The sequence below is a fragment of the Homo sapiens genome, chromosome 1, assembly GCF_000001405.40.
Source record: "Homo sapiens chromosome 1, GRCh38.p14 Primary Assembly".
Taxonomy (NCBI): Eukaryota; Metazoa; Chordata; class Mammalia; order Primates; family Hominidae; genus Homo; species Homo sapiens.
The window spans coordinates 87,598,648-87,612,954 of record NC_000001.11 but is presented as its reverse complement, the minus strand read 5'-3'; the positions used below and the strand labels follow the sequence as shown (position 1 = coordinate 87,612,954).

The following is a 14,307-nucleotide window of genomic DNA, read 5'->3' as shown; positions in this document are numbered from 1 at the left end:
AACCTGAGGTCCCTACAAACAGAAGGCAGCATGAAAACGGGCCTCTGAGAGTTTCACCTGGAAACAGAAGAACTAAACAGGAAGCTAGAACCAATCCCATGTAAAGGAGATCATCCTTCATCAGTGGAGGTGACGAAAAGTTGGTTGATTTTCACACTACTGGTCTGTCTAATAATCATGTCTTGAAGCAGGAATAGCTTTTTTTGTTGTTCTCTTTTGATTTTTATTAATTTATTCATTCAGTAAACATTTATTGATCATCTAAACACTGTACTAGGCTCTAGAAAAACGAGTACTACACATATGCAAGAAGTTAATAGGTTGGTAAATAAAGGAGCCAGGAAAACAAATGAAACCAAGGCAATGAGACAAGTACTATAAAAGAGAAAGGATAGCCATGTGACCAGTGACAGGATTTACAAAATGGCTAATAGGGGTTCAGAATTGAAACTATGGCCATGAATCTAAATGATATCATGGACCCCAAAAGTGATTGAACTACAGATCATGATCTCATGTCTACAATAATTAACTGATGGTAGAGGAAACAGTTTAGGTGGTAAAAGAAAAGTCTTCAGACACTCACCTCTGGCCTAGGCCATGCTTTTCAAGGTTGCCTTGACTGTAGTTGAACTACGTTGTTAAAACCACTTGACAAGATGTAAGCTACTTATTTTACATTAAAATGGAACCCCAGGGCTTCCTTGCACATATACTTAATTAATTAATTTCTTCTTTCATTAAGCAATAGATCATAGAGAATGACTTCAGGATAGGTGTAGAATGAGACTCCTGGATCAATTATAAACTATCAACTTGGGATGCCAAGTTATTCAGTCTCAATGTCCTGTAGCTACCTCCTTCCCCTGCTCGTAACAACATATACAACTCCAATGACAACTATGTTCCTTCTAGACTCAAGCTCATCCTTATAGAAAGTTTAACTGCTGAGAAAAGCCACTACAATATTTTCATACAGGTAAAAGCAGGTGGAAATTAATATTAGGGATAATGTTGAAGTGTAAAAATTGATGTAGGTGAAATTGGAGTGGGTTGTAAAAGCATATTATCTGCCACTACCTTGACAAAGATAACAGAGTTTCTGACAAAGAGAAGGACCTAAACAAATATTGATGAATGAAGACAACAAACTTCCACAGGGGCCTAAGGTGGGGTGAAAGAGCTGCCTTTTTTTTATTACTTATGTTTTACCTGGAAAGCTAAAAGGTAAACTTTAAGAGTGCTTTGCATGTGTTATCTCATTTAATATTGCCTATTTTGTACAGATGAGGAAACCGAAGTTGAAAGAAGTTAAAAACTTTCCAAGGGCTTTCCTCAAGCAACAACGAGTAGGCACCAGGGCCAGAATTCAAATTCCAGTCTGAATTTATCTTTTTCCTCATATTATGCTAATACCTCATCACTTACATGTGTCCTGTAGATAAAATGACATTACATTTGAGCCTCCTTTTCTGCTTGATATTAATGCATGAAGAATGAAAAGGCATACATGAGGGAGTGGATATTGGTGTGTGAGGAAGAAAGAAGGCCTCATTCTAGATAATTGTGGCAAATAACCAGTTCTTCCCTATATCGCCCACCAGAAGTAAAACACCTTCATTCCCTGAGGAGAAGTTCCCTGAGGATCACGCTACACTTTCCACACCCTTGGGTTTTGGTAGGAAGAAATCAGCAGAGTGGACATTGCTTGATTGCTTATTGGTGAATGCTATGCTGTTTAAATGGTTCTCAACTGTCTATAACTCTTTATTTTAATTTTTTTTTTTTGAGACGGAGTCTCACTCTGTCGCCCAGGCTGGAGTGCAGTGGCACGATCCCGGCTCACTGCAACCTCTGCCTCCTGGGTTCTAGCGATTCTCCTGCCTCAGCCTCCTGGGCTTAGGACTACAGGCTGGGACTACAGGCGCACTCCATCACACCCAGCTAATTTTTGTGTTTTTAGTAGAGACAGGGTTTCACCATGTTGGCCAGGATGGTCTCGATCTCCTGACCTTGTGATCTACCCTCCTCAGCCTCCCAAAGTGCTGTGATTATAGGCGTGAGCCACCACACCCGGCCAACTGTCTGTACCTCTTAATGGAAATGTTGAGAAATCCAAGGTCTTCTGGAAGTATGTTGATTATAACAATATTAGGGGCTACAGAACAGACACAACAGGGAGCTGGAGTCCCCCTTTGTACTCCTTTGCTGGATTGATCATGATCTTACCTTTGCCTTTGAGTTTTCCTGTGGTATTTATGTTTCCTACAGAGTAGTCCCTCAGTTCCGCCTTTTATCAATGGAAGTCAGTGTGATGGTAGAAGCCCTAATCAAAGGTAATACTAAAAATACTTATCAACCAATATACATTGGTTTCAATAAGAATGGATCACAGGTATGAAAATCCAGTACCACTGTACCAGGCCTACCTACTGAATATCAGCTCTTCCTGAACTTAGATTCAGATCAGTGTTTCTCTCATTTCTATAGAATGAAGATTTATCATGATGTAATAGGACACACACACACACAGACACACACACATACATGCTCATCAGCCTGAACAAACACCTGAATTTTGTCCTTCAAATGAAGCAATCACCTCAGGAGGATAATACATTTATTTAATGTGCTGTCATTGCTCAAAACACTTTTAAAACTCCTCCTGGAATTGCCTTCGGGGTCAGTTTATGAACCAGAAAAGATAATTTGTCTCTCTTTTTTATGGTCACACCTCATTTTTGACAAATTTATAATACGTATCTTCATTATCCTTAATCAGAAATGTCTGTAAATTACTTCAAGCTATTTCCTAAAATCAACCCTACTTTCAAAAGACAAAGATTTTTTTCCTAATTAAATATATGCAAACAAATATGATACAGGCTATGGAAGAAACTTGAAGAGTAAAATTATACTTTTTATGTAAAATTTGGTTGCTTTTTAAATAGACATATACCTGTAGAGCAAGAGGTGAGAAGGAGCATCGTTTGATTGCTCAACCTTTGATTTGGTGTGCCTCATCAATGTTCCTGTCCACAGGGAATGCCCTGCCTCATAGATGCTTGATGTAGTTTGAATGTTTATGTTCCTCCAAAATTCATGTTGAAACTAAATCCTAATACAATAGTACTGACAGGCGCGACCTTTAGGAAGTGATTAGGTCATGAAGACTCCTCCCTCATGAATGGATTAGTGCCTTATAAAAGGGCTGGAGGGTGCTGGCTAGGCCTTTTTGCCCTTCTGCCCTTCAGCCATGTGATGACACAGTGTTTGTCCCCTCAAGAGGATGCTACAGTAAGGTGCCATCTTGAAAGCAGAGAGCAACCACTGAATCTGCTGGCACCATGACTGGACTTCCAGCTTCCAGAACTGTGAGAAATAAATTTTTGCTCTTTATAAATTACCAATCTCAGGTATTTTGTTATAGTGGCACTAATGGACTAAGACACTCATCCAGGCTGCCATGCTTTGGATCATGTGACTAGACTCTCCTAAACCTCACCCCTCTTTTAAAGATTACAGGAACAGTAAAGGCTGGGCTCGGTGGCTCACACCTGTCATCCCAGCACTTTGGGAGGCCAAGGCAGATGGATCACGAGGTCCAGAGATCGAGACCATCCTGGCTAACACGGTGAAACCCCGTCTCTACTAAAAATACAAAAAATTAGCCAGGCGTGGTGGCAGGCGCCTGTAGTTCCAGCTACTTTGGAGGCTGAGGCAGGAGAATGGCGTGAACCTGGGAGGTGGAGCTTGTAGTGAGCTGAGATCACACCACTGCACTCCAGCTTGGGCGACAAGAGAAAGACTCTGTCTCAAAAAAAAGAAAAAAAAAAAAAAGATTATGTGAACAGGAGTGGATGACTAATTCAAGACAACTGATCCTCAAGTTGGCCAATACATGGGGCCTGTTCAAAAAGATGAGCTGGACCTATCAGAATCTCAGTTTTCAGATATGAATTAAGAGATAAAAATAATTTTCCATCCCTCTATAGGACTTTCTGTTTTAGTCCGACAGAGTTTAAAGGACAAAAATAATTTTTCATCCCTATGAGAGCTTAAACTGAAAAGTCATAGTTTGATAAGTGGAAGTGGGATGTGAGCAGAGAGAGGCCATGATTGCCAAGTATAAATTGAAGTTATAAAGGAATGGAAATTATTATAAACAGGAGAAACAGGCCAGTGGAGACAGGGAAATGGAGCAGATGGCTGAGGAAAAGCAGAGATGTTTTGGGAGACCTCAGTGAACACTCCTAGTCTGCCTCCCCTGCATTAGTTCTCTCCTCAGAAACTCCAGTTTTTGTCTGGGCAGCCGTGTGATTTTGAGTATGTGATTCCACCCACACCACCATGTTTTACCAGGGCAAAACAGTGACCCAGGCTAAGCCAAAAAACTCATATGTCAACCGGCCACAGGATTGGCTCAAGGTTGTTAATGTTATTCAAGCAATCGTACTGCATATCAAGACTTCCATCAGGAATGCTAGAAAAGATACTCTCTCTCTTCCCAGCTCACATAGGGAAGTATATTTCTGAGAGCTACTGGTAACCATTTTGGCATCACGAAATTAGCTAACCTTAGAATGAAGCTGATACCATGGAAGGAATAGCAGAGACACAGAAAAAAAAAAAAACTGGGTTTTGGTGGTATTTTGGACCTGCTGGATCAAGTCTCATGAAATTGTAGATTTGCCTCTTATATTTTTTCTTTTTTATTTTAAGTTAAACCTCTCAGTCTCCTTTATTGTTTAAGCCAGTTTCATTGGTTTTTTCTTACTTCCAAACAAACGCACGCTGACACAGCAGAGGACAAAAGCCTGTCTCCAGAAACTCAATTTCTATAATCCCAGTTTAAATTCCAGTTTGTTTAGCCCCCGCAAATAAACCCTCTTTATAAAGGTAACCTAAGTGAATTTCTGCTTGTTTAACCCCAGGAGCTAATCTACATGCATAAATTGATTGTGATTTGATAAATCATTGATAAAAATATGATTGTTTTTATCAATAAAGATTGATAAATCATTATTAAAAACATTACTTTTATGTTTTCTAGATGGACTGTGTTCTGATATTCAAATGTCTTATATTTCTCATTTTAATCTGGAATCCAATCATCAAAATGTCCTTTATTTTAATTATTAGCTGATTTCTTTATTACTTAAAATGGAATGTCCTATGGCAAATTATTTTAGAGAGTTTAAAACTATAGCTTCCCAATAAATTTATTCATTAAATTCTAAAAACATTTTTGAAAATAAACAAAACTACTTAATATAAAGTAATTCAAGGTTATAAATTCAAAAGTGAAATTTACTCCTCAGACTTTCCATACCCACTTCACAGGTGTCATTGGAAAGGTAAGCTTATGTCCTTCCAGGCTTTTGTCAATACACATATGTATATTTCAAACTAACAATGGAAACAAAGTACATGCTGTTCTTTAAGTTACTTTTCTTTCTTTATTCATGAGTACATTGTGTGCATCTTCCCACATCATTCTTATTCATTTTTATGGCTGCATTATATGCCATGGCTGCACCATGATATATTTTAACTATTCTCCTATTGATAAAATTTGGGTTGCCTTCATGTTTTTATAATACAAATAATGTTACAATGAGCATTCTTTTATACATTTTCTTATATGTTTGTACAGTTTCTTTTGCAAAATAATTTTTAGAGAGTGAAATGTTGGTTCAATATAGATGCTTATTTTAAATTTTGATAGATTCTGCCTAATCACCCTCCAAAAAAAGTTGTACCAATTTACACTCTCATCAATAGGATATGAGAGTGTCCACTTTGTTACTCTCTTATCAACACCATCATCCAGGTATTCTTTTTTTTTTTAAGACAGTCTTACTCTGTTGCCCAGGCTGGAGTACAGTGGCATGATCTCGGCTCACTGAAACTTCTGCCTTCTAGGTTCAAGCAATTCTTCTGCCTCAGCCTCCCGAGTAGCTGGGATTACAGGTGCGCACCACCATGCCCAGCTAATTTTTGTATTTTTAGTAGAGGCAGGGCTTCACTGTGTTAGCCAGGCCGGTCTCAAACTCCTGACCTTGTGATCCACCCACCTCAGCCACCCAAAGGGCTGGGATTACAGGCGTGAGCCACCGCACCCAGCCTATCCAGGTACTCTTTCAGTCTTCATCATTAGATCTCAGTCTTAAGCTGTAATAGTAACAGTAACATCTTGAAGTGTAGGAAGATTCCCATAACAAATACAGTACTAACCAAATAATTTTTTTCAGTAAAGTAGGAGTAATGTAATAGTTATTTTTAGGAATTCTAGACAAAACTTTTAAGAAAAAGTCAGTTCTGGATACTTAACAATGCCATGATAAAAATTACATAATGTTAAAACAAAGTGTGACTTTATAACAGACATTTGTCATTCCCTCTATAGATTGTTGAGGCCTGGACTCTACTGTCAGTCCAAAACGAAAGGGAACATAGTACTAGAAGGCCTAGGCAAGGCAAGTAGGTGAGATAAAGAAATAAAAGACACCCAAATCAGAAAGGAAGAAATTAAATTGTCTCTTTTCAGAAGACATGATGTTACGTATTAAAAACCCTAAAGACTCCACCAAAAAACTGTGAAAACTAGTAAGAGAACTCAATAAAACTTCAAGATTTAAAATCAGCATACAGAAATCAGTGGTGTTTCTATATGCTAACAACAAACTATCTGAAAAAGAAATCAATAAAACAATCCGATTTACAAAGCATCAGAAAGACAAAAAAAAATGTTTAGGAATAACTTAAACCAAGGAAGTAAAAGAAGTGTACACTGAAAACTATGAAACATTGACCAAAGAAATTGAAGAAGACACAAATAAATGGAAGAATAGCCCTGTGTTCAAGGATCAGAAGAATTAATATTGTTAAAATGTCCATATTACCCAAAGTGATCTATAGATTTAAGTCAATCCCTACAAAATTTCCAAATTTGTTTTTCACAGAACTAGAAAAAACAGTTGTAAAATTCATGTGGAATCATAAAAGACTCCAAATAGCCAAAGCAATCCTGAGCAAAAAGAACAAAGCAGGAGGCATCACACTACCTGATTTTAAAATCTACTGCAAGGCCATAGTAATCAAAACAGCATGGCATTGTCATAAAAATAGACAGCTAGACCAATGGAACAAAATAGAAAGTCCATAAATAAATTCACACTGGTCAATGGATTTTTGACAATGTGACCAAGAACATACAATGGTGAAAGGACAGTCTCTTCAATAATGGTGTTGGGAAAACTGGATATCCACATGCAGAAGAATAAAATCAAATCATTATCTCACACTATATAGAAAAATAAACTCAAAATGGATTAAAGGCTTAAATATAAGATCTGAAACTGTAAAACTACTCAAAGAAAACATGGGAGAAAAGCTCCATGCTGTTGGTCTGGGCAATACTTTCTGGCTATGACCCCAAAAGCACGGGCAACAAAAGCAAAAATAGAGAAATGGGATTATGTCAAACTAAAAATATTTTCACAGCAAAGGGAACAATCAACAGAGTGAAAAGACAGCATACAGAATAGGAGAAAACATTTGTAAACCATACATCAGAGAAGGAGTTAATATCCAAAGCATATAAGGAACTCAAACAACTCAATAGCAAGAAAACAAATAATCCAATTTAAAAATGGGGAAAGGACCTGAAAAGACACTTCTCAAAAGAAGACATACATGGCCAATAGCTATATTTTTAAATGCTATACTGAAATCATTAGGGTAATGCAAATTAAAACTACAATGAGATATTACCTCACACCTGTTAGAATGGCTATTAATAAAAAGACAAATGATAAGTGTTGGCAAGGATGTGGAGAAAAGAGAACCCTTGCATGCTGTTGGTGGGAATGTAAATTAGTATAGCCATTATGAAAAACAGTATGGAGGTTTCTCAAAAAATTAAAAGGAATTTTTTGAGATCTATTGCACAGCATGATGAATATAGTTAATAATAGAGTATTGTACATTTCAAAATTGTTAAGAGTAATTTCAAATGTTCTCACTAAAAAAAGTTAATTATTTGAGATGATGGATACGTTAACCAGCTTGATTTAATTATTCCACATTGCATTAATAAAACATAACATCACTTTGTACACCATAAATATACACAATTTTAAATTGCCAATTTACAATTTAAAACATTTTTAAAAATAGAACTACCATACAATCCAGCAATCCCACTTACTGGATCTATACAAAAAGGAAATAAAATCAGTATGTTGGAGAGATAATCTGCACTCCCATGTTCATTGAAGCGTTATTCACAATAGCCTAGCTACAAAATCAATGGATGAAAAGATAAAGAAAATGTGGTAAATATACACAGTGGAATACTCTTCAGCCTTAAAAAAGGAAAGAAACCCTGTCATTTGTGACAACATAGATGCATGTGGAGGACGTTACATTAAGTGAAATAAGCTAGGCACAAAAAGACAAATATCACATGATCTCACTTGTATGTGGAATCTAAAGGTGAATTCATAGAAGCAGAGAGTAGAAGGGTGGTTACCAGATGAGTAGTGGTGGTGGGGCAGGAAGGGGTGGAGCAGATTAGAGAGATACTCGTCAGAGGATACAAAGTTTCTGTAAGACAGGAAAAATCAGTTTAAGGGATCTGTTGTACAAGAAGGTGACTCTAGTTAATAACACTGTATTGTATAGTTGAACATTGCTAAGAGAGTAGATTTTAAGTGTTCTCACCACATACGCACACAAAATGGTAAGTATGTGAGGTAATGGATATGTTGATTAGCTCGATTTAGCCATTCCACAATGTATACATATTCAAGACACCATATTGTACCCAAATGCAGCAAATATTTATCAGAAGCATTTTAGAAGCACAAAGCACTGCGATAGGAGCTCCAAACTGGGAGCATCTGTAAGTCACCAATTCTCAAGGCAGTAATAAGGATCAGAGAGATATCAAAAAGATATTATTTTACCTCTAAGCAAGGATTATGCTATTTACTCTGGTGCCTTCAGTTTGCAAATAAAATGACTAATCGTGAATAGATTCCCTCTTGAAATCTTTGAAGAGTTTCTTCCCCACTCCTGGCTTCCAACAACTGTGGAATCCTGGTAATGTGGGGGAGTGGGCAACTGGGAGGCAGAAGCTTATCTAATGCTGTAATTTGATAAGGTAGCCAGAAGCTACAGCACTAATATACCACTTTCTCTTAGTACCTGCAGAGCCTGTCTTTCTTAATCATTTCTTCCTGCTAAAAGGTTTAAAGCCAATCTTCATGTCTTAAGAATAAAAATGTCAGAACATTACCAATTTACTTGTCTTCTTTGATACCTTGGCTTAAAAGACCTGAATCTCATCAATGTTGGTCATTTATTATACATACCTGAGTGGTACTATTTCACTTAAATAAAGGAGGCCAGAGGCACTGGAGTTTAGAAACCAGGAGAAACAAACTAGAAACCACAGGATCCAACCCATGGTATAAAAATCTTAGTGGAAGAACCACTCTGGCAAATCTCTGCTTACTTTTGGCTTCAAGGGCTCATCTTTTTTTCTCTCACTCAGAGAATATAAAAATCTGCAGAATACAACATGCTAACCTTAACCTCCAAGGTAGAAACCTAGTGGCAACCCTTGCAATTTTTCAGTGGAAACTTGCTGTTTTAAATGGAAAGCTAGAGAAGATAAAACCACTCAAATCTTCCTCAATGACCCTGATATCGTATATTTCTTTTCTTTTCTTTTTTTTTTTTTTGAGACAGAGTCTTGCTCTGTCACCCAGGCTGGAGTGCAGTGGCGCGATCTTGGCTCACTGCAACCTCTGCCTCCTGGGTTCAAGCAATTCTCCTGCCTTAGCCTCCAGAGTAGCTGGGATTATAGGCGCGTGCCACCATGCTCGGCTAATTTTTGTATTTTTAGTAGAGACGGGGTTCCACACCATGTTGGCCAGGTTGGTCTCGAACTCCTGACCTCGTGATCCACCCACCTTGGCCTCCCAAAGTGCTGGGATTACAGGCGTGAGCCACCGCACCTGGCCAATTATCTTATATTTCACATGTTGTACATTTTACAGAGGGGCTAATCAAAAATCTAAGTTCTTTATGTTTAAATTGTAACTTTACATAGATAAGTGCAAATAAAAATAGTCATAAAGCTCTAGTAATACTAGTTAGATTCTTGTTTCTCAAAAATTTTAAGTATCTGAAAAAGGACTGTCCCATTTTGATTTGAATCCCAAATATGTAGCTTTGTCTTTTTCTTTTCATAGATGAATAGAAAAATATCTACTGCAATAGAACCATCCAAATTAGAATGAGACAATCATGGGCTGGCAATATGGAAGGAAATAAAGAAAGGATTAGCATGACAAACTTGGGTTTGGAGTCTCATATCCTTTCTAATGGCAGAGACCCAAGAGTCCTATTGAAACAATTTCCTTAAACTACCAATGGGAAAAAAATCTCTCTGGCTACTCCACTCCCCTCACCCTGGGTGCCAGGCCCCAGCTTGTTCACAGTTACCACCTCATCCCATCCCTAGCATCTACGTATAGCCAGACATCAGTGAGGAGGGCAACAGCAACAGAACCATGAGCACTGATAATGATACCTGGTCCTATGGAGGACACTACACCCTGAATCAAAACCAGAAGTGGGTGCAATGTGAAAATAAAGGGAGGTGTGCCATTCAGAAAGACACAGTTTAGATGAAAACCCATTTCAAATGTCCCAGTAGAACAACTATGGAGGAAAATTAATGAAAACATGTTTCCTTGCTCTATTAAATCAGTAAATCCCAGAAATATGGAATCTTTTTCATGTATCAGATATGGATACGTACTACTGAGGAATGTTTATTTCCTAGACAAGCTATCCTCTTGCTATGTGCTGTATATCACAATGCAGTGAAATTTTAATACAGGTGAAATTTGACCCTTTAAAGAAAATGTTAAGTAAAATCAAAATTGATAGTATTATTACTATTAATAAAACACATTTATTTTATTAAGGAAGTTTAATTATACAGCCATGCGTCTTTTAAAGATGGTGATAGATTCTGAGAAATTCATCCTTAGATGATTCTGTCATTGTTCAAACATCATAGAATGTACTTACACAAACCTAGATGGTATAGCCTAGTACAGACCTAGCCTATGTTTATCCTATTGTTCCTAGCTTACAAACCTGTACAGTATGTTACTGTGCTGAATATAGTAGGCACACAATGGTAACGCATGGGTATGTATATTGTTATAGTAACACAATGGTAAGTATTTATGTATCTAAACAGAGAAAAAGTATAATAAAAATACAATATTATAACTTTATGAGACCACCATCATAAATATGCTCTGTTGTTGGCCAAAACCTCATTCTGCAACACATAACTGTATTTTCATGTCACAGTGTTCAAAGTGTTAGTGGACTTTTCTCACTAATCATTTAGCCATTTGAGAAAAATAAAACACAATAACATGTAGTATTTTCATTTTCTCTAAGCAAACTTTAAAGGCACCAGAATTTAAATTTGATATGTTTTGAATGTTATGTGTTGTGGAGAAAAAAAAAGTTTTGATTTAGTATGAAACTGCAAGCAAATTTTGAAGATTTTCCAACTTATCTGAACTTTGAAGGCAAGGAAATATAATAGGATCCAACTTTCTTGTACGATTTTTGGTATTTTCTTTCTGGGGTGTTGGTTTTGGGAAGAAGGAAGGGAGATTAGGTTTATTGGATGGTAACTGAGCTCAAAGAATTTTTGTACATTAGTAGTCTTGCTGTCTGTCTTTGATGAAAACAAGGTCTCTACCGTTGTTTGTTTAATATTATGTTTATGCATCTTGTTTGTGTCTCAGAAATGCTGAAAGTGAGAGTGGTGAGTCATGTATGACTCATGTTCTAGTGGGTCTTAACCATTTCTCTACCTACCTAATCACACTTTGCTCAGAGCCCCCAAAACTTGACTACCTGAATGACTGATGTTGCTGGGCTTATGATAATCTCTTATTTTGCTTCATCTCCTCCAAAGAAGCCATTTAGAGCAAATATTTTAAGGACTTAAAACAAATTTTATTCTCCCAAACTTGCCCTCTCTTAAAAAAATAAATAATCAAATGCATCCAAAGCAAGAGGGAAGGGGAAAGTGTAGGAGAGCAAACGAAACACTCCATGCAGGGGTTTTATTGAAAGATCTTTGTGGTATTTTGCTTTTGAAATGTGTTCAGCACAGACTTTAAGGATTGGCAATTTGTTTAAAGAAATGGGTAAAATATTTAAAACCACCACTTTATTTAAACTATTGTGCCTCCTTCAGTAAACATTCAGCACATGATTGAACCCTGTATGAACTTGTGCTTTTGCTGGTTAAATAGAATCTAAGCTTAAAATGAAAGGGGCCCTGCTATTGAGAAGGGGACAAAAAACTTACATGTGCATTTTTTTTTTTTTTTTGCCCACACACAAGGGTTTACCCCCAAAAAATACCATGTGAGTGGGATCCTTTATTAAAATGCCCCAAGTTTTTTTTGTTGTTTTTTTCCCCTTGGCCTCAAAGTGCTAAATGAAAGCAAGCTGTTAACAGAAATGAGTAATTATTGAAGCTCTAACAGGCAGCTTTCATTGAAGTTGATTACAGCAGCCATATAATCACTTTTACGGATGCTGTAATCACAGTAGCAGGGAATGCTTCACTTGGTTCTTATTGTTTTCGCTCAGGGTGGAGGTAGGGGGCCTGCAAGAAGCCCGTTTTGCCACCTCGGTACAATTTCTGCTGCAAAAGAAATCTACACAGCCCTGAATGGAGTCGAGAATCATTTATTCTTTCTTTATTAGCATTTTTTCCTTCCTCACATAGAGTCTGTTGGAGTCAGGAAATTGCTGTTATTCAATATGCAAGCCAGAGGTTGTAATGACCGCTTGGAAGGGTATGACCAACAATTACAGCCCTTAATGAATTGGGGTAATCTAGTTGAGACTAAACACTAGTAGCAACTCTGGGCCGTCTCTGGTTAAATTAAAAGAACAGCAATGCAAAGGAAGTTAACAAGAATTAATTAGTTAGATCGAACTGAAAACCTACTCATTAGAGATGTTATAGGCAAAGTAAAAGCCTATCTTCAGTGCAATTAGGTAGACAAATGAATTGTACAACTGACTGACTCACACCTGCTAACAGCTAAGGGCTATAGCACTATGTATGGGATCCACTTTTTCCAGTTCATGCATACTTGCATAGTTTAATGGATCTTACATTCTTGAATTAGCCTCCATTCCTTCAAATTTTTACTTGGATGTTTGATCTAAATATGGGCAGTTTCAATGCTGCAGGATGTTAACAAGCACTGGCTGAAGAGGGCAAAGGATGTGTTTAAAACCCCCTAGAGAGGGGTTGTCTCGTTTAAAAACAGCCCAGAGCAGTTTCCCCTGACCATTTCCTCAAAGAAAGAAACTGCATCTTATCTGTTTTCAGATATGTGTATTACCTAATTATTCAATCTTAAATCATTAGAAGACAGTCTAGGATGTCTGCATTTTAGAGGTAAATAAGTATTAAAAATAGAAAGGTAGTTTTAGGAAGATTATAAAGCAGCTGGGAGTGATGCATGGTTGTGGGGAGGTGCCAGGGCAAGGAGGTCTGCTTTGCTTTTGAGGGCATGTGCACAATAGATAAGGAAAAGAGAATCCCTAGAAATCTTAAACTGGGAACTTTCTGGGAGCTGTTATCATAATAATGCGCTCTGGTATTTTTTTTCCAGATGTTTCTCTGTTTTTTTTCTACCTATTACGTTTTGTCTTCTTTGCCTTCTTGCACAGAGTCTCTGAAAGCTCTCACTGTGTAACATATTTGCTCCTGCTGTCTAGTTTGGGATGGACGGTTTCATTAAAGGGGGAGGAGCAGGCAAAGGAGTCCTGGAGGTGGATTTTTCTGCTTATATTTATGAATGGAATGACAGGCAAGGGGTAACGTGGTTCTCCCAGAGTGGTATCGTCAAGCAGGAATCAGGAGTCAGAAGTTTATTTTCCAGCACTGCCCTGGTGTCTCAGAATGAACTTGGAATAACCTCTCTGTGGCCCATATTTTTGCCTTTTTAATAGGGGTGATCACCAGTGTTTCCAAAATTTATGGGTCAGTCACAGGAGGAAAATTTCTACTAGTCCCCCTTTCACCACCTCTTAATCACTTCCCCACTACCAGTCAGACTGCTCTTTGCAGTGGCACCAAGAAGTTGTTTTGGCACCAGCCTTCCTTTCCATTTTCTTTCTTGTCAGTAGGGGCAGAGGACAGACCAGACAAGCAGGAGTCCAGCACTG

At 37.6% G+C, this 14,307-nt stretch overlaps 1 annotated feature.

Moving 5' to 3' along the window:
• Positions 12,108-13,597: an enhancer, noted in NCBI's record as "VISTA enhancer hs1217". NCBI's record gives its function as "enhancer in: neural tube[5/8]" and the evidence as "EXISTENCE:transgenic organism evidence [ECO:0001131][PMID:17130149]".